This window comes from Homo sapiens, chromosome 7 (genome assembly GCF_000001405.40).
Source record: "Homo sapiens chromosome 7, GRCh38.p14 Primary Assembly".
Lineage (NCBI taxonomy): Eukaryota > Metazoa > Chordata > Mammalia > Primates > Hominidae > Homo > Homo sapiens.
In genome coordinates this window covers 155166935-155186932 of record NC_000007.14, presented here as the reverse complement: position 1 = coordinate 155186932, position 19998 = coordinate 155166935, and the positions used below count along the sequence as shown (strand labels likewise).

Genomic DNA, 19998 nt, shown 5'->3' with positions numbered 1-19998 from the left:
CATTCATGAAGCAGTACACAGAGCACTCCTCTTGGTGAATGAGGTCGGTGGTGGGGGTCTGTGTGGCTGGCTCGAGTCTCTGCTCTTCACCTCTGAGGCCCTTCCCCTAGGGAGAACCTTGTCATTCTGTGGCTTAGTGGCCCAGCTGGGGTTGAGAAAAGACATTTTCAAATGAGGAAAACCAAGACAATTGGCCATTAGTAAAAATATTAAAGGAAGTCTTTCAAACTGAAAAAAAAAAAGATCCCAGATGGAAATTTAGATCTTTAGAAAGAGGTGATAATCTTCAGAAATGTTAAATCAATGGCTACACTGAAAAGAAGTTTCTCCTGCTTGTGAGCCCCACCTCACAATCATCTTAACAAGAATTATGTAAGTAAAAAATTCATTATAGAAAAATTTTAAAAGCAGAAAGAAAATAAAATATTTTATAATTCTTCTAATGGAGAAATAAAAACTGTGTAATGAAGAATTAACCTTGGCTAAAGAGAGGCCTGGCCTTTGCCCTCAGCCACTGGGAGGTGACCCCCAGGTCACTGAAATGTCTTCCTGGAGAGAAGTGTCTTGTTTGCCTGGGGGCTTTGGCTACTGGACAGTGTAGCTGTGACTTATGATGAGGGCTCTGGGACATGACAATTCAGTTCTGACCCCTGGAGGAAATGGAGACAGCAGTAGGTCTGTCCATATGGACAGTAGATGCTGGAGCCCCAATAAAAACTCTGGACATAGAGGCTCAGGGCAGCTTCCCTGGCAGACAGCATTCCATGTTTACTGGGAAGAGGTGACAACATCTAGAGCTCCATGGAGAAAGGATGACCAGAAGCTTCATGTTCAACCCCTTCCAGATTCTGCTCTGTGCATCTCTGGCTTTGCCTAGTTCTAATTTATTATCCTTTCACTACAATAAAACTGTCATAGTTAAGAACAGCGTTCTCTTGAGTTCTGTAGGTCATTCTAGCAAGTGTTCAAGGTTGAGGGTGGTCATGGGATCCCTGAACTTATGGCTGGTGTCTGAAGTGAAGGCATTCTTGTGGGGCTGATATCCTCTGAGTTTGTGCAGTTTTCCTAAACTCCTTTACAGAGGCTGAGCTACAACCAGATATAACTGGCAAGGAAGGTTGAGGGGCCAGGCCCTGAACTGGAATGTCCAAGGTTTTTCAGCATTCAGTGGGGTGAGAGTCCCATTGGAAAGGGTCAAGTTACAGTTATTCTTCCCATTAGTGTGATGGTGCAGCTTTTCAGGAGACAGATGGGAAGGGAGTGCTTGACTTTACTTCAAACAATAGAATATTATTTAAGCAGATCTTTCCATAGAAGTGACAATGAAATGGAACCACTGTGACAATCCCATGCACTCTGACTGATTTAATAGGGCCTGGTGCCTTTTGTAGGTGCCAAATGAATCTTTCTGTTCAGTTAAATGTAGCTGCTTCTGCCAAGAGGATGCCTGGACCCAAGCAGGTGGAAGTCTCAAAACAAAACAAAACAAACAAAAAAACCCCACACATCAATGAGGCTTCCCAATAGACTATCCTTCAGGAAAGAATTTGTGGAGGAGGTAGTGTTTGGGAAGAGGTGTGAAGGAAGAAGGGACTGGGAGTCTACAGGAGAGAGAGGGAAGGATAGCACTAGAGATGGCAGAGACAACAGGAATGAAGTTTCCGATGTGAGAAGCACACGCTGAGCTTGGTGTTCTAGGAAGCTGCTCACGTGTGGAAGGGAGGAGGAATTACACCTACCCAAGAAGCTGGCTTGAGTGGACTGAGGCTAAACTTTAGCCAGTGAATTCTCTTTCCTGATATGCTGTGGGCTGGAATAATCATTCAGACGATTGCTGACTTCTCATTAGAAACAATGGTGGCTAGAGGATGATGGAACCATGTCTTTAAAGGAACAAAAGGGGAAAAAATGAGAACAAAACAAAACAAAAAACATCCTTTTGACCCAGTAATTTATATTCAGCAAAAATATCCTTCAGGACCAGGCACAGTGGCTCACACCTGTAATCCCAGCACTTTGGGAAGGCAAGGCAGGCGAATCACGAGGTCATGAGTTCGAGACCAGCCTGGTCAATATGGTGAAACCCTGTCACTACTAAAAATACAAAAACTAGCCAGGCGTGGTGGTGCGCGCCTGTAGTCCCAGCTACTCTGGAGGCTGAGGCAGAAGAATCTCTTGAACCTGGGGGGCAGAGGTTGCAGTGAGCCAAGATCACACCGCTGCACTCCAGCCTGGGCAACAAAGTGAGACTCCATCTCAAAAACAAAACAAAACACCTTCAATAATGAAGGTAAAATAAAATAAAGACATTTTCAAATAAGGAAAACTAAGACAATTAGCCATTAGTAAAAATGTTAAAGAAAGTTTTTCAAACTGAAAAACAAAGAGATCCCAGATGGAAATCTAGATCTTTAGAAAGAGGTGATGATCTTCAGAAATATTAAATCAATGGGTACATTGAAAGGACTACTTTCCTCTTAATACTTAGGGTGTGAGTGTAGAATAAATATGGTGTGTCCCATCCTGCCACCTGAATAGTTTGTCCAGGATTCCGGGGACACGGCTCCTCTGAGGGAATCAGCTCTGCCAAGGAATAGAGGCCCTTTACCCACTCTCCTGGTGAGCCCAGTGAGCCCAGTTATAACATCTGCAGATGGCATGCATATCAGTTACATTCAAGGAGGGGGCAGGGTACATGGAGCCATACAGTTGCAAGGATTCTATATTTTACATGAAGTAGTACAAAATTAACGCTAAGCAACGTGTGAAAAGTTAAGGATATATGTTGCAAATGTTAACAAAATAATACAGAAAGATATAGTGAACAGTATATGGGTTCTATATCCTCAATGCGAAGGAAGAGGCTTCCTTTCAAGGAATTACTGACTTCTGAGAAAGTGTGAGATGTGACTGTGGGGAGGCTCTGGAAGCTCTTCTCATCTGTACCACTCCCCCACAACATAACACATCAGAGACAACTGCTGCTTAGAGGGTGGCAGGTGGAGTGCACAGGCAGTGGTGCCCCAGGCCTTGGCTCTGACTCACTGGGCTCACCAGGAGAGTGGGTAGAGAGCCTTTATTCCTTGGCTGAGCTGATTCCCTCAGAGAAGCTGTGTCCCGGGAATCCTGGACAAACTATTCAGGTGGCAGGATGGGACATGCCAGAGTCCAAACTCCAGACTAGAACTCACTGTTCCATAGCCAGATCTCCATGACCTGTGTGTTCCTCATTTATTTAAGCAGGATTTTTCTTTAAAAGGTAGTAGTTGGAGTAAAGTTAAACCACGCTACAAAAGGGACCAACAATGCAGTGGATTAATGAACAAAGAAGTCTGCTTCTCTTGGAGAATAGTCCAGGTCTGTGCGTCTCCCCCACTTCTCTCATCTGTGGACACTTGCCATTGGAGTCAGCGCCCACCTGGTCCAGGATGGCTTCATCTTCAGATCCTTCACTTAATGGTGCAAGGAACTTTTTCCAGATATGGTCCCATTCCCAGGTTCCGGGTGGGCACTCCTTTTGGGGGCCACCATTCAACCCACTGTACCAGGTCAGCAGAAGTGATGCTGTGTAAATCTCCTTGTACATGCCGCTCAGCAGTCAGCTACTGCTGCAGAAGCCCTGTGTAACAGGCCACCCTAAGTTGAGGCACTTACAGCAACAAGCATTTTCTTCTCTTTCTCACTGATCTGTGGTTGGCCGGAGTATAAGTCAGGGTTCTCCAGAGGGACAGAAATGTAAGATACATGTCTATATGAAAAGGAGTTTATTAGGGAAAATTGGCCCACGGGATCAAAAGGTGAAGTCCCACAATAGGCCGTCTGCAAGCTGGGGAAGAGAGAAACTGGTAGTGGCTCAGTCCTAGTCCAAAAGCCTCAAAACCAGGAAAGCTGACAGTGTAGCCTTCAGTCTGTGGCTGAAGGCTGCCTGAAAGAGTCCTCAGCAAGCCACTGGTACAGGTCTCTGAGTCCAAAGGCCAAAGAAGCTGGAGTCTGATGTCCAAGGGCAGGAGGAGCTGAAGGAAGCATCTGGCAGGGGAAAAAGAAGGAAGCCTGAAGACCCAGCAAGTAAGGTGATTCCACCTTCTTCCGCCTGCTTTGTTCCGGCTGCGCTGGCAGCCGATTGGATGGTGCCCACCACATTGAAGGTGGATCCTCCTCTCCCAGTCCACCCACTCAAATGTCAGTCTCCTCTGGCAGCACACTCACAGACACACCCAGGTGACCTGCTGGGCTTGGTTGGGGGTAGAGTGGGCTGGGTTAAGGTCTGCTCCCATCTCTCTTCACTCTCCTTGGACCAGGAGCTACCCAGGGCATGTTCTTATGAATGGCTGCAGCGCAAGAGATGAAGACGAAACACATAGCACACTTGAGACCTCTGTCTTGTCCTGTTAAGAGTCCACCAGCCCCAGCAAGTCACCTGGACAGTTCCAACTCAATGGGGTGGGGAAGTGTGCTCCACCCATGCTGTGAGGAGCATCAGAGCCACAGGGGAAAGGGTGTGGGTGTGTAATCTACGACAGCGAAGGTGGAATGGGACCCGCCGTCCCGCTGGCCACAGGTGCATCCCCAGGAGTGTTTCTGCCAGGTCACAGGGTATGTGCAGGTCTACCTGACCAAGCAGTGTCAAAGCATACTTCAGAATGGCCACTCCAGCCATGCTTCCACCTGTGCTGCCCACAAGCCTCTCAGCCCTCGGCAGCTCCAAATCACTAACTTTTGCCAATCAAAAGTGTGTGAAGTGATATCACAATGTTTCAGCTCGTGTTTCTCTGATAATTAGTTGTGTGCATGTTTCTTTATTTGCCAGATGTCCTTCTGGGAGCTTGTTTGGAGGTTGTAGCAGGGGATTGCAGCTATTCATATACCCTTGACCGAAGACTGGCCCTCCTCTGTTGGGGATGGTCGTCCTCTTCAACGGAGTGTGCAGCTTTGGGAGGGATGTACGTGGAGTGGTGAGGGAGGAAGGGGACACCCGCCTAGTCAGCCAGATCGCCAAATAAACCCTGGGGATCAAGGGGTGACATATGTCACAACCAGATCGCCCTCACATCCTGGGTGTCCTTTTGGGTTTCCTCTTCTGTAAACCAGTGGATTTGGATCTTTTTTTTTTTTTTGAGACAGAGTCTTCCTCTGTCACCCATGCTGCCGTGCAGTAGTGCCATCTTGGCTCACTGCAACCTCTGCCTCCCAGGTTAAAGCGATTCTCCTGCCTCAGCCTCCAGAATAGCTGGGATTACAGGTGTGAGCCACCACACCCAGCTAATTTTTGTATTTTTAGTAGAGACTGGGTTTCACCATGTTGGCCAGGCTGGTCTTGAACTCCTGGCCTCAAGCAATCTGCCGGCCTCGGCCTCCCAAAGTGTTGGGATTACAGGCGTGAACCACTGTGCCCAGCCTCCTTTACCCGTCTTTAATGTTGGGGTCACCATCTTTTTCTTGTTGATCTTCAAGACTTCTTTTTAATTGCAGTTTGGAGGATTAAAATATCTTTCTGTCTTCTGTTAGTTTGCCGATGATGTCTTTTTTTGAACAGAAACCATTATTTTTTATGTAATCATATGCACGTATGTGCGTTTATGTGTGTGCGTGTGCCTTACAGTATTTTTGCTTGGAAGTTTTGTTTAAGAAATCCTTCCCTCCCTTCAAGATCATGAAGATATTCTCCTGAACTTCCCTCTGTGAACTCCACATTGCTACCTTTCATGTGTAGACTTTCCCTTCATCTAAGCCCCCCTTCACATATTGGGTGAGGTAGGAATCCAGTTCTACTTTTCTCTTGGAGAATTCATTTTAATTCATGCTGTTGCTTACACTTTAATTTCCCAATTCATTTTTAGGGAGAATTTTTTTCTTCTACTAAGTGCAGTAATTTTTCTGTGGAAAAAAACTGGTACAGTTTGTACAGAAAATTAGAGTTCTCATAGACAGTAGCTGCAATTTCTTATGAAAATACAGTGTCTTCTAGTGACCTAGGTATGACACAGTAAAGGAGTTTAAAAAATTATTTCTAGTTTAGTGCTTTGAGGAATCATTAAACTTGACCTTTTTTTCTGTTTGAGGCTAGAACCTTTATGAGAACTAAAAATAATTCCAATTTACTTCCTCTTCTGTGTCCTGGAAGGGTGATTTCATGGCCTATATATAAAATATAATGAGAACGAGACATTCCCAACTCTAATGGCAAAAACTTAATTTAATTACAATAACAACCAGGGAAGCAGAATTACCTTCTTTTCCTTTCATGTCTTAGATAGTTTTACCACTTTCAGTAAAAATACTAATTTTTATTTTTTTCTATGTCTCCTTTCTCTCTTGGTCTCACATACAAACCTCCCCCTTTTCTCTCTTCTAATTTGTGTAATTGTGAAAAATGGAGTATTTTGAGCAAGTAAATACATGAGTAAGAGCTTTTTACTTTTATTTTACTAAATTTGATTGAAGTATAACACACACACACACAGGGAAAAATATGCAAATGACAAGTTCAGCTCAAGTAATGTCACATGGCGAATGAACCACCACATGCCCAGCTCCAGCTCAAGACACAAGAAGCTCTGGCAGCTCAGAAGACGCATTGCAACCTTTAGGTAATTGTCCCTTCCCAAGCCAGCCTTTGATGGTTAATACTGAGTGTCAACTTGATTGCATTGAAGGATGCAAAGTATTAATCTTGGGTGTGTCTGTGTGGGTGTTGCCAAAGGAGATGAACATTTGAGTCAGTGGGCTGGGGAAGGAAGACCCACCCTTAACCTGGTAGGCACAATCTAATCAGCTTCATGTGAATGTAAAGCAGACAGAAAAATGTGAAAGGGTGAGACTGGCCTAGCTTCCCAGCCTACAACTTTCTCCCATGGTGGATGTTTCCTTTCCTGCCCTCAAACATCGTACTCCAAGTTTTTTTTTTTTTTTTTTTTTTTTTTTAGACGGTCTCAATCTGTTGCCAGCCTGGAGTGCAGTGGCAGAATCTTGGCTCACTGCAACCTCCTCTGCCTCCTGGGTTCAAGCGATTCTCTTGCCCCAGTCTCCTGTAGCTGTGACTACAGGTGCCAGCTAGCACACCTGGCTAATTTTTTGTGTTTTTAGTATAGACAGGGTTTCACCGTGTTAGCCAGGATGGTCTCAATCTCCTGACCTTGAGATCCGCCCCCCTTGGCCTCCCAAAAAATCACGACTGGGATTACAGGCCTGAGCCCCCACGTTCAGCCTCCACATTCTTTAGTTTTGAGACTCAGACTGGCTTTCCTTGCTCCTCAAGCTTGCAGACAGCCTATTGTGGGACCTTGTGATCATGTAAGTTAATACTTAATAAACTCCCCTTTATAAATACATATCTATCCTTTTAGGCCTGTCTCTCTAAGAGAAGCCTGACTAATATACAGCCCCTCTCCTGTCTGTCAGGACACACCAAACATAGATTGGTGTGGCCTGATTTTGGACTTTATCTAAGTAAAATAATAGAAAGTGTACTTTTTAAATATTTGGCTCCTTCTGCTCATATGTCTTTGGGACTCATCCACGATGTGGTGTGTCTCAGTACTTCATTTGCTTGTGTTGCTGCAGAATAGTCCATTGCATGAATAGACAGTACCACAGTTTATTTATCCATTCTATTGTTCTAACCATTTGATTTTTTTTTTCCTGTTTTGGCCTATTAGGGATGGTGCTGCTGTGCAATTCCTATACATGTGTTTTGGTGAATATATTTATGCATTTTGCTATTGGATGTACACCTAGGAGTGAAACTACTCAGGCAGAGGTTTATGTGTGTTCAGCCTTAGTAGATACTGCTAAACAATTTTCCAAAGTGACTGTAGCAATTCATACCCAGTAGTAGTGGATGAATGTTCTAAATTCTTCACAAACGTTTTGTCTGTCTTTTTCATTTTACCATTCTGCTGGTTGTAAAATGGTATCTCACTGTGGTTTTAATTTGCATGTCTCTGATGGCTAATGAAGTTGAACAATTTTTCATATGTGTATTGGCCATTTGAATATACTCTTTTATGAAGTTCTTATTTCTCAATTTTTATATTGGTTTCCTTACCATTTCCTTATTGATTTATAGACCATTAAAATATATGTATGTTCTCAATATCAGCCCTGTATGTGTTGCAATATCTTCCCTTACTCTGTGGCTTGTCTTTTTTCTTTCTTAATGTTCCTTTTCTATAATCAGAGGTTCCTAATTTGAATGTAGTTCAATTTATCATCTTTTTCCTTCATGATCAGTATTTTGTGTGTCCTGCTTAAGAAATATTTGCCTGTTCCAACAACAGAAAGGAATTGCCCTAGGCTTTCTTCTAATTATATTACTATTTCATCTTTTATACTTAGATCCACAATCCTTCTATAATTGATTTTTTAATAGTGTGTAAAGTAGAGGTCAAAATTTATTTTGTTTTTTCCTTTGGATGTCCATTTGACCCAGCATCATTTATCGAAAAAGCCATCTTTTCTCTACTGCATTGTAGTGTTACCTCTGCCACAAAATAGGTGCCTGCACAAATATAGGGCTGTGGCAGATGGTCTTCTGAGATGGCCACTCTGCACATACATGCACCCCACTCATCAGGACAGGAAGGCTCTCTCACCATTTCACTTCTCCCTGACTCCAAGCAGGATTATAGCCTATCTTGACAACAGAGCTTGGATGTGGGTGCTGCTGTTCCTATTGTGGGCCAGGCCTCAAGACATCTGGTAGCTTCCACTTTTATGGTAGGGGAAAGCAGCTGTTGCATGAAAAGTCTGACTGCCCTGGGAACATCACGCTAGGAGGCATCCCAGATTAGCCACCCAGAGAAGTGAAGAGAAAAACTGACATCAAGAACTGAAGCCCTAGATACATCATTGCCGTTAGTTGTTCCAGCCAATTCTCTGATGTTTGGACTATTGCAGGGAAGGACCAGGCATTGTGGAGCAAAGTGGACTGCCCCTGTTGTTGTTCTGAATTTCTGACCCAGATAAGTAGTGAGGAAGTTTGTCACACAGCGATAGGCAACTGACACAGTTCTGCTCCTGGACTCTGCATTTTAGTCACCAGTCTAGTTACTATCCTTTGTCAGCACCACAATGTCTTTATCACTACAGTTCTGAAATAGGTCTTGGCATCTGGTCAAGCAGACCCTCCAGGTTGGTTCTACTTCTTCAAGACTGACTTCACTATTTTTGGTCTTTTAGATGTCCATAGACACTTTAGAATCAGCCTGTGAGTTAAACAGACAAACAAATGTCTAGGCTTTTTATTGGTATTGCACTGAGTTGGTAAGTCAATATTGGGAGCTTTGACATATGTATAATATTGAGTCTTCCAATCCATGAACATGGTATATCTCTCTATTTATTGGGTCTTATTTAATTTCAGTAATGTTTTGTAGTTTTCAGTGTATGTATTTTGCATATCTTTAACTAGATTTATTCCTAGGTATTTGAAGTTTCTTATTCTGCTTTGTGTGCATTTTATTTATTTTCTACTCATTTTGCTAGTATACAGAAATACAACTGATTATCATATATGGCCTTTTATTTAGTAACCTTGTTTCTTAATCCATTTCATGCTGCTATAAAAGAATACCAGAGACTAGGTAACTTGTAAAGAAAACCATCTTATTTCCCACAGTTCTGGAGGCTAAGAAGTCCAATGTCAAGTGGCTGACATCTGGCAGGGCCTTCTTGCTGTGTCATTCTGTGGCATAAGGCAAGAGAGGGTGGGGGGTGGAGATAACTCTTTCTTTTATAAAGAACCCACCCCACAATAATAAACCCATCCCTCAATAATGGCATTAATCCATGAGGGCTCTGCTCTCGTGGCTTAACCACCTCTTTAAATGTCCCATTTCTTAACACTGTTGCATTAAAGATTAAATTTTCAATACATGCTTCTTGACAGACATATTAAACCATAACACCTTGCTAAATTCACTTATTGATTCTAATAGTCTATAGATTCTTTTGGAGTTTCTGCATGTGCAATGATGTCATTTGTGAATAATGACATTACAAATTTTACTTCTTTTGTCCCATTTTTTAGGCCTTTTATTACCATTTCTTCCCTTATTTCACTGAATAGAATCTCTAGTATAATGTTAAGTAGGAGTGGTGATGTAAGCACATTTATCTAATTCTTGATTTCTGAGGGAAAGCTTTTAATAAGTAAATGACATTTTTCTTAAGTATTTTTTAGATATTCTGTAGAGATTTAGGGAATTTCTCCTTTATTCATTATAAGAGACTTTTAGTCATGAAAGGATGTTGAATTTGAAATTTGCAGGTTTGCTTAGCTATTGATTAGGGTACATTTATATAAGAGATATGTGAGTCAGTAATTAGCATAAGAAGTGGGTGTTTGGGGACAACAGAACTGGCAGGAAAGCCCAAGCAGCTTGGGATTTAACAAGACCTTTCATAATTCCACAAATATATTTATTATTCATCCATACAACAAAGTACCATTGAGGATCCACCAAGTTCTGGTTATCAAGATATAACAATGTGCAGTAAAAAATTTACACTTGCCATAAAAAGAGACCTGGCTAGCTCAAAACTTTTGAATGTCATACCTGATGAGAGAATCTTTGTTCACCTGGGAGTCTTGGCCACACAGTAAAATCTAAAAATGTGTTGTAAGGTGGGGGATGGCCATACTTGATAGTTCTAGAGTGGGTGTTGGCCACACCCAGAAACATCAACAATTGATTTATGGTGGAGGCTTTGAGTCCTGTGGTATCAGCAGACCGTCATAGATCCTAGAGATTGAGATTAGCTATATGGGCAATCAGCCACACCTATGCAAGGAAACCCCAACAAAAACCCTTAACACTGAGGCTTTGGTGAGCATCCCTGGTTGGCAATGCTCCATGGTATTGTCACACATTGATGCTGTCCTGGCTCTGTGGGAAGAGGACAAGAAAAGCTCTGCATTTGGAGCTCTCCTGGGCTGCATCCCATGTATCTCTTCCCTTGGCTGATTCCAGTCCATACCCTTTCCTTGTAATAAACCATAACTGTGAGTTTCACAACTTTTAGTGAGTTCTGTGAAGGCTTCTAGAGCAAATATGATAGTGTTTTGGGGAATTCCCCAAACCTATATAATTAAAGTCAGAAGTCAGATTGTCGTGTGGACCTCTAACTTTAGGTTGATTAACTTCTAACAAACAGTGAATAAGATTGGTGCTGCTCTCCATGAGGTTGGCAGTTTAGTGGAAATACTGACCATCAGGGCCACAGTTCCCAGATTGGGTCCAGATGATGGTCATGGAGACAATGTTCTAAGGTCAGATAAATAAGTGAAATTGCTACATCCTCCTTCTTTCACTTGTAGAACCACATCGAGAGTTTAAACCAAAGCCTCAGAGAAAACATGTGGTAGAGAAGATTATTTATTTATTTTTAGCAAGAATTCTCAAACTTTTTATTTAATGTCTTTCTTTTTTTTATCTAACTTTGTATGTCTAACACGCCTAATAACTTATTGGGGAACAATATATTTTGCTGGTAAAGGGGAAGTCACCAGGTACCATGTGTTGGAACACATACTATGTGCTGGGTGCTTTATAGACATTACCTTATTTCATCTTTACTGTAGCCCTATAAGCAGGTATTATCTCCATATTAAAAACAAGGAAACAGATCCAGCAAAGGTAAGTATGTCTTGCAGAGTTGCAGCTATTGAAAGAAAGGTTGTGTTAGAATTTAAGCTCAGGTCTGTCTGCCTCTGAAGTTGTTCCTTTCATTCAGAGAGGAATGTTCAGGGCATCCAAGAAGCCTGTGTGTGTGTGTGTCTGTGTGTGTGTGTGTGTGCGCGCACGCACATGTGTGTGCATTTCTCTAGGTAGGGGACCCACAGCTTTCATTAGATTCTCAGAGAGGTCTATGACCCCAACAATGTTAGGGAATCAATTTATGTAGACATCTTAAGTAACCGTTCCCAAGTATTTTGTAGGGTGGAATGTTAAAGCCTTCAGGGTCTGGTGCACCCTTCTTTACACATCAAAACCTAAATGAATATTTGTGGGGGGTAGGCAACAGAGGACAACTTTTTCTATTAATAGGAATCTTCCTTTTCAATGACATGAATACATATCAAACACCTCTTGTGTTACCTGTACTCTCCTCCTAGATGAGCTCCTACACAGAAAGATCATAACCTTTTCTTCCCCATATGCCCCAAAGCATGTGGCAGAAAGAGAAAATGGTCACCTTCAGAGCTAAGTGGTGTGAAGCAGGCTGTGAGCACCTGAGGATTCAGGGGTCACTGATTGGAGTGGACAAATCAGCATGAGCTCAGGAAGGAGCTTGGGGGGCGATGCAGGGAGCATCTGCTCATGTGAGAAGGTGAAGCAGCTTTGAGAATGGCTGAATTTTCCATATATGCACTTCACACACAGCTTCTGGTAACTCAATTATTTTAACCAGAGGAGTCCACTTTGGTGGTGAGATCCACTGGGCATTGCACACCCACCACAATCACCATATATGCCAACCCCTTGTGGTAGACACGGCCACTGTGCCAACTGCTTCCTGTGTACTTTTTCCTCATTTTTTTCTCTTGAAGAACGAATTGTTATGATAATATTTTATAGGCAAAGAGCTGAGTCTTAGAGAGGTTAGGTAACTTGCTCAAGGTCACCCAGAGAGTAAGCGGTAGATCTAGGATGGGAACCAGGCTGTCTCCAACCTGCTGATTAACAATTTGAAGGCCCTGGGCCCCAGGAGGGTCAGCATCTCCCCCCCACTGCCTCCCTGGAGTTTGGTTCTATTTTTCATTTTTCCATCTGCTGGCTCCAGCAGCTTGGGCCAGATGGTGACGTCACCTCCTGCGCAGGTTCGTTTTCTTCTCGGGAAGGGGTGCTAAGAAGTCGGTTTTCACAAATCACAGAAGCAAAGCAGAGGGGACACCTGGCACTCTGGGGGATGGGGCATGGAGGTTCCCAGAAAGGTGTGGTGGAGAAAGCGCCATGGACTGGCAGTGTGCGGTTGGCAAAACACAACGTTCCAAAAAAGGAAAACAGAGACAATATCAGTTTAGAGGCCTCTAGAATCATGGGGCTAATTAGGATTGTGACAGAATTAGGATTAGGAACCCAGGCTCACAAACCTTTAGTCCAGCCCTCTCTTTACTCTATGTTGATGTGTCTGGGGTCGCCAAGACACAGAAAACCTTTGTTAAGTTCTCATCAGTCTAGGAGGAGATTGGCCCCACCTGCAAGGGCTGGCCTGCCTTCTTCCTGCTGTGCAGACCCGGCAGCTGCAGGTGCTAAGACGACAACTTCATCATGCCTGCACCTTTCATGCCTTCAAAGTGCACCTTCTGGGACTCTCGAGCTGGGAATCCAAGAGTCTGGGATGCACTTACTCGGAAAAATTGCTGTTTTTTTTTTTTTTTTTTTTTTTTTTTGAGATAGAGTCTCACTCTGTCACCCAGGCTGGAGTGCAATGGCGCGATCTTGGCTCACTGCAAGCTCTGCCTTCCACGTTCACGCCATTCTCCTGCCTCAGCCTCCCGAGTAGCTGGGACTACAGGTGCCCGCCACCATGCCCGGCTAATTTTTTGTATTTTTAGCGGAGACAGAGTTTCACCGTGTTAGCCAGGATGGTCTCGATCTCCTGACCTCATGATCCACCTGCTTCGGCCTCCCAAAGTGCTGGGATTCCAGGCGTGAGCCACTACGACAAATTGCTGTATTTTTATGATTGGTTTGAGCCTTATCAAATAGCCATTGTGTAGATCAAAATGGTTGAATACTGGAAATTTCATTCAAATTAATAAGAATCTTGAGACATGAGCTGGTTGATGGCGAGTGAGAAGGCAGTGTGGATCAATGGCTTGCTGGTCTCAGCAGGGTTGAGGAATCGCGGCTTGAGGCCCTAGGGCCAGCAGGCAGGCAGCAGAGAGAGGGGTCAGAGCCTCGGAAGCCGCTGCTCAGATTCAGAGGGGGAGCAGTTCCCGGGACAAGGAGATCCAGGGCTGGCTTGAGAGCTGGTGGCTGCAGCGGTGATGACAACGCGTTCACCAGAACACTCTTGGTGCTTGCTTCTCAGGGATGAGACCTTGCGGATCTCAAAACAGGCATGAAGCAAATACCATTGATACTCTCATTTCACTGAGCCAGGGGAAGCAGATGTGTGGAGGTTTAAGAAACTTGTCTAAAGGCTACACAGCAAGTTGGTGGCCAAATCTAGATTTTAAATCAGGTCTGTCTGCCTCAAAAATGCGTGCTCTTTCTTCTGTGCTGTCCTGGGTGGGAAAATAATTTGAAAAGTCAGTACAAAGATACACTGATTTTGTGTGAAACTATTGTCTAGAAGTTATTTTATCTTTCTACATTCTCTATTTCCTTCAACATCTGATTCTTTCAACAGGACTCGTCTCAGTAAGGGTACCCTGGACTGACCTATCCTTGACCGTAAGTGTAAATTTCTGTGCCCACCTCAACAGGAATTTCTGGTTGTCAGCCTTGATGTCTCTATAGGGCCCCGAATGCACTGGCTTCTTCTCCCCTCACATTTCCAGCCAGGCTCAGGGCAGGGCTGAGCTACTGCTGAGTGTTGTGTTTGGTTAAGAGGCCAGTGGAGGGGAGACCAGGAGCCAAGCTTAACAGAGAGGAAGGAGCTCTATTGGGAGAGCAGGGAGGGCAGCCAAGGTCTCTGGGACTCAAGTAGAGGAAGGCAGGAAGGAGGTAGCAACCGTCTCAGTGCAGTCTGGTGTCCTAGGAGGAGTGGAGTCAGTCTGTGTTGTGGCTGGGCCCACATGTCTGCACAGGAGGCAGAGGCACTGGCCGTGAGAGAGGTATCGAGATCTTCGCAGGACAAGTGTGGGCTCAGGGGTGGAACCTCTTGATCTAACTTCCAACCTCAGGCGGGGGAGTAGACAGAGTGAGTTTGGTTTATTCTCTGTGGCACATAAGGAAAACGGGGTGCAGAGAGTGGCAGTGTGAACTCACTTCCCCCTCTGTAAAGGTGAGTGTTGAATCGTCTTTTGGTTGTGGGCATCCTTGTGGGTTTCTGCGGTTTCTCTGGGACACTCCTGAAGGGCGCCGGTGCCCAGTAAAGAACATCTGCTCACCAGTGCTCTTGTGTGACAGTGCCCAGACTGCCAGAGAATCACAGAGACTGGATTTCCAGTTCCCAGGTACAATTTCCCAACATGTCAGTTGTCCCTCCCAGGACCCTCTGTGGTCCCTTACAAGCCTAAGGGCTGGACTTGGCCACACTACCCTCTCCCACCTGCAGCAGCCAACGTCACTCCTGTGACCACTGCTGTGAAGGTCCACCCAGGCTTGACCCGGCCTATCTGCAGACAGGCGGCCATGTCCCCTCCCTGGAGCCCTTCCCTTCTGTTTGGTGCCTTCCTCTGTTTGTTGTGAAGTCTTATTGGAACGGAATCACACCACTTGAGCATGTGCTATCGCACCACCACAGCACAACTGAATAGTGATGACCGCCGAGGAGTTGTGCAAAACCATAAACACTTTCTTTCTGACCCTTTATGGGAGGACAAGCTTGCTAAAGCTGCTCAGGGCTCCCCCAGGCTCCAAGTTTGTGTGGTGTCCGACAAAGCCCACATTACAGGAAAATGCTTGCGAAACACACTTGCATCCCACAGCAAAAGTGATGGCAAAAATGTAAGCATTTTGTTTCTTTGTCCTTATTCCTTCTTACCTTGACCTGGAGATCCAATTACTGAGGCCCTCCTGGGATTTTAGGAGTTCTATCAGGTTCTATTTTTACACATCCCATGATTTTATGACTCTTTCCAAATTCTACAGAACACGAACAGAATTTCAGGAAAGCTGCCTTTGTTAGCTGAGTTGTTGGTGTGTGAGTTCTAGGCTGGGGCCAGGTGGGACCTGGTTGCTCAGTCAGCTGGCTGACTTCTTGCCTATACTCAAATGTTGCTTGCTATGTCTTGAATCCTTTTTCTCTCTCTCCTTTTTTTCTTTTTCTTTTTTTCTTTTCTTTCTTTTTTTTTTTTTTTTGAGATGGAGTCCCGCTCTGTTGCCCAGGCTCTGGAGAGCAGTGGTGTGATCTCGGCTCACTGCAAGCTCCGCCTCCTGGGTTCACACCATTCTCCTGCCTCAGCCTCCCAAGTAGCTGGGACTACAGGTGCCCGCCACCATGCCCGGCTAATTTTTTGTATTTTTAGCGGAGACGGGGTTTCACCGTGTTAGCCAGGATGGTCTCGATCTCCTGACCTCATGATCCACCCGCCTTGGCCTCCAAAAGGGCTGGGATTACAGGTGTGAGCCACTGTGCCTAGCCTGTCTTGAATCTTTTAAAGTTTCACTTTATTTATGTATTAATTTTTGAGACTTGGTGTTTTTTTCAAGAACGCATTGCTCAATTTTTCTCTTTTTAAAAAAGTATCTGACGTGACTTGACCACTGCGCTGTTGTTTTGCTATCTCAGCATTTAGGGGAAATTTACATATTATGTAATGGCTACCAGGGATATCTAATGCTGTCACCTTGGAAGCGACGCTGGCTTTCCTCTTTGGGACACTTGGTGAAGTCACCACTTGGGGCACCTCAAGGATCTTCTCTTACCTGGTTATTTCATGTGACGGCCAGGGCTGATCCGTCTCCTCTCCTTGGCATTTATTTACCTTTTTCTGGGAGTGACTCGCCATTTCTTGTGTTTATTATTTCCTGCTTAAACAAACAGAAACACATAGATATCTATGTCTTATAAATTGGCATATATGCAATAAACACAATATGCACATAAATAGAAGTTCTTTGCCCCTAAAATCAATACAAAGTGAACGTCTCCTATCACGTACTCTACAGTAACATGCAATTCTCTCACTCCCCACCACTTTCACTTTACTTTTAAGTCACTCTAAGTAACTGACGTTTGCATTTTTTGTTGTCTTGTTTGTCTGACTCCCCAGGACCCGATGGAAGTCCCACCAGGGCAAGGAGCCTGTCCTCCTCACCACTGCGTCCCGAGGACCACGGATGGGGACTGGCAACACATTGGGTTCAGTATCTCGTAAATAAGTAAGTAAACAGGAAAGTCTGGGTAGGGACCCAGAGACGTCTAGGTGTGTCCTGGGGTTCTTATGGGTGGAGGGGCAACAGCCCCTGACTGACAGAGGTTGCTGGAGCCGGGCAAGGAGGAGAACATGGAGGATCTGTGGAGAGAGCCCCATGTGATTCCTCGTGTCCCCCATGTGATCTGGTGTCCTGGGTGCCTGGATGCCAGACCAGGCCCCACACACAGAGCACACAGAGTGCCCTGAGACAGCCTTGAGAGGGAAGGCAAACACTCGAGGCAAAGCGTCAGGTTGGCGGGGGCCTGCTTCACCTGCACACAAACCCTCCCTTCACCTGAGCAGCTCAGGGTGTCGGAGGAGCCCATCCACTGAACTCTGTGTCTGCTCCTGGACATCCGGGAGGTGTGCACTGGGTCCCTGCCCCTGCAGACATGTGGGCAAAGTCTGTAGTAACCCAGGGCACCACTTGCTCCTTTTTCCCGGCCCCTGCCTGGCTGCCTTTGAGCCGAAGCAGTCCCAGTCCCTGGCGGACCCCCAGAACCTCAGCCCTGGATGCTGCTGGTGTCTGTGTTACCTGGCACTACTGGCCTTGCCCAGGTCTCCGGAGCTGGCACCCAGCAACTCCACCTCTCCTGTCGCCTCACAGACTCAGCCTTCACCTCCTCTGTGACATGCCTCTGGGTGTTTAAAGGGCACCTCTGGCTGTGATCAGCTGCCTTCATTATTGAGGGCTTCTACCTGTGCTGGTGATGGTGGCCTCATGATGTGCAGTGCAGAAAGGACAGGGAAACAAGAGGCGTCTCGCTGGGGAGGGCAAGTCCAGACAAGGCTTGGGGCATCCATCACCTGCTCCACGCCACCCTGCAAGGCCCCTGGAAATGGATGCAGTCACTGTGCATTAGATTATAACCTGCAGGGATTTAGGGGCAGTTCAGAGAGATGCACCCCAAATGACACCTGGTCTAATCAATTCTTTTAGTTTATGTTATTTCAGATTGGACCTGGTTCCAAATCTTGATACGACCCAAGGGCAGGAATTACAGCTCTCCACCCCTTCACAGCAGCAGAGCCCGATGTCAACACGTAATTGCTTGTCTTTTCCCCATTATTTCCAATAATAAATTGAGGGCCTGTGGCTCTCCAGCCCAGACATTTTGATGATGTCAGGGGCGTCCAGGAGTTGATGACTTAATTTTCTCAGAAACTGCAACATCATCTGTCACTGCCCAAGAAAATGAAAATCACAGCTCCCTGCCCAGCAGGGCAGTCATTTCTGATTTGGGGCAGGCAAGTGAGGAGGTCAGTCCAGATCAGCGTGGGCGCAGGAAGAGAGAAAACCAGACAGTGGCTAAGACCACTGGGAGCCATCTGATGTCCTGGTTAAAATTCTCCTCATTGGGACGTGACGAAAACACCTGCAGTGGCCACCTCGGGGTTGGGGGCCGGGGGCGGGGAGTATTGCTGGGCCAGCTGGTGCTTTAGAAAGAGAATGTTGGCTATTTAATGTCCATTTTGCTCACTGGAATATGCCCTTCAAGGGGGCAGGGACCACGGAAGGCTTGGAAAGAGGAAAGCAGACACAGAACATGCAGCAGCAGGAGGGTGAGAGTCCTTTCCAGGGTCCTCCTAGCCTCGGAAGCAGGAAGGGGAAATCCCAGCTGAGATGTGGGCTGGGGGCTGGGGCTGAGTCCAGGTGAGCCGCTGGGTGGGCTTCCAGTGGCTGCAAGGAGCTGACTCCCTCCTAGGGGGCAGGGGACCGCCGTCCTTCGTGAGCCTGGATGCTGGGGGACGACGGGCCAGCCTTGGACAGGGTGAAGTAGGAAGTGCAGCTCAGGACATCCCGGGAGCCTACAGGGGGATGTGAGGCCACTCTCAATGGCAGGGCCGTGTCCTTTCATCTATACCAATGACAATGACATCCAGATGCAAGTCTCCTACAAGTTTGGGTTGTGTGGTCTATCGGAGCATTTTCCTTCTGAGTCATGGGTTGAAACTCTTTAGGTTGCAGCTGATACAAAACGAACTCACGCTAATGTGTGGCTCGCACCCCTGGGGAGGCCACCTGGGGCTGCATCAGCAGGTGAGGACACGCGGGCTGAGCCATGAGCCTCGTGTGTCAGCTTCATCCCGGGCAGACTTGCTCTACAGGGCGATCGACCCTGGAGCTCAGGCAAGGAGTGGGTCTGGGGCTGGGAGGAGATGGGGTGAAGAAAGGCCTGGAGTGGAGGTGGAAACAATTTGGGAGAGAAGCGGCATTTGTCTACGACAACATCAAAACCTCTAAATGCCATACACATTTAACCACACTGAGCCACACAGTTTATTATTTATCTTTATTTGAATTAATTAATAAGAAAGGGATGTTATGGGGATATCTGTAGACCACTGTAAAAGAAAAAATAAAGAGTCCAGAAGCTTAGCACTGAGTAACAAAATCTATCCCTGGGAATCTGGCACCGCCGAGTCTGGGGAGCTCTTCAGGGCAAGGTTCGGGGGAGTGAACCTGGGGTGGGCTTTTTGAAACCCTGAGCCCACGCAGCGCTTCATCCTCTCCTGGGAGAGCACTCTCTCTGCCAATGCGCCGGCTGGAGTGTGGCTCCCTTGCAGCGCGGGCCTGGGCTGCTTCACCTGCGCCAGGGCGCTGCCTGGAGAGCTTGGTGCTGCAGCTGCTGCGAGGTCACTGGCAGGGTTATGCTGTAGGTGCCCGTGACAGTCAGGCCTGCACTGGAGCCAGCAGCCTCCGGGGCAGGGCAGGGTTCGGAAGGAGGTGCTGGGCGAGACCTTGGCTGAGGGGCTGGTGTCTGGTGTTTCACTAGTCGCTCCAGTCCTGCCAGGTGCTGACAGTCTTCATGCCACGGAAGGCACATGTGCAAGGGATCCATGTCCACATCCAAAAGACAGGGCTTGTAAGCCTAGCCTTCACCCCATAGGAAAGATGTCCATGCGTGTGGAGAAAGCAGCCTACCTCAAACATGCAGAGCACAGGGCCGCGTGCAGGATGCAGG

General features: G+C 46.0%; 1 long non-coding RNA gene and 1 pseudogene across 2 annotated transcripts, besides 3 other annotated features; both read right to left on the bottom strand.

Moving 5' to 3' along the window:
* Positions 708-962: a silencer, noted in NCBI's record as "fragment chr7:154977681-154977935 (GRCh37/hg19 assembly coordinates)". NCBI's record gives its function as "represses an EF-1alpha promoter that drives an FKBP-Casp9 reporter gene in an ReSE screen in HepG2 liver carcinoma cells {active_cell/tissue: HepG2}" and the evidence as "EXISTENCE:reporter gene assay evidence [ECO:0000049][PMID:32094911]".
* Positions 4817-5052, bottom strand: RN7SKP280 (RN7SK pseudogene 280; annotated as a pseudogene).
* Positions 13614-17597, bottom strand: LOC105375584 (uncharacterized). Of its 2 annotated transcripts, none has more exons than XR_928222.1 (3): positions 17568-17597; positions 16542-16643; positions 13614-14233 (listed from the first exon to the last, which is right to left on the bottom strand). It is a non-coding gene; the product is annotated as an uncharacterized LOC105375584 (long non-coding RNA). The 2 variants fall into 2 exon arrangements; XR_928221.1 differs by lacking the exon at positions 17568-17597 and adding an exon at positions 17328-17554.
* Positions 18255-18754: an enhancer, noted in NCBI's record as "H3K4me1 hESC enhancer chr7:154959889-154960388 (GRCh37/hg19 assembly coordinates)". NCBI's record gives its function as "activates a minimal SCP1, AML or CMV promoter by ChIP-STARR-seq in naive H9 embryonic stem cells {active_cell/tissue: H9 hESC(naive)}" and the evidence as "EXISTENCE:reporter gene assay evidence [ECO:0000049][PMID:30033119]".
* Positions 18755-19256: an enhancer, noted in NCBI's record as "H3K4me1 hESC enhancer chr7:154959387-154959888 (GRCh37/hg19 assembly coordinates)". NCBI's record gives its function as "activates a minimal SCP1, AML or CMV promoter by ChIP-STARR-seq in naive H9 embryonic stem cells {active_cell/tissue: H9 hESC(naive)}" and the evidence as "EXISTENCE:reporter gene assay evidence [ECO:0000049][PMID:30033119]".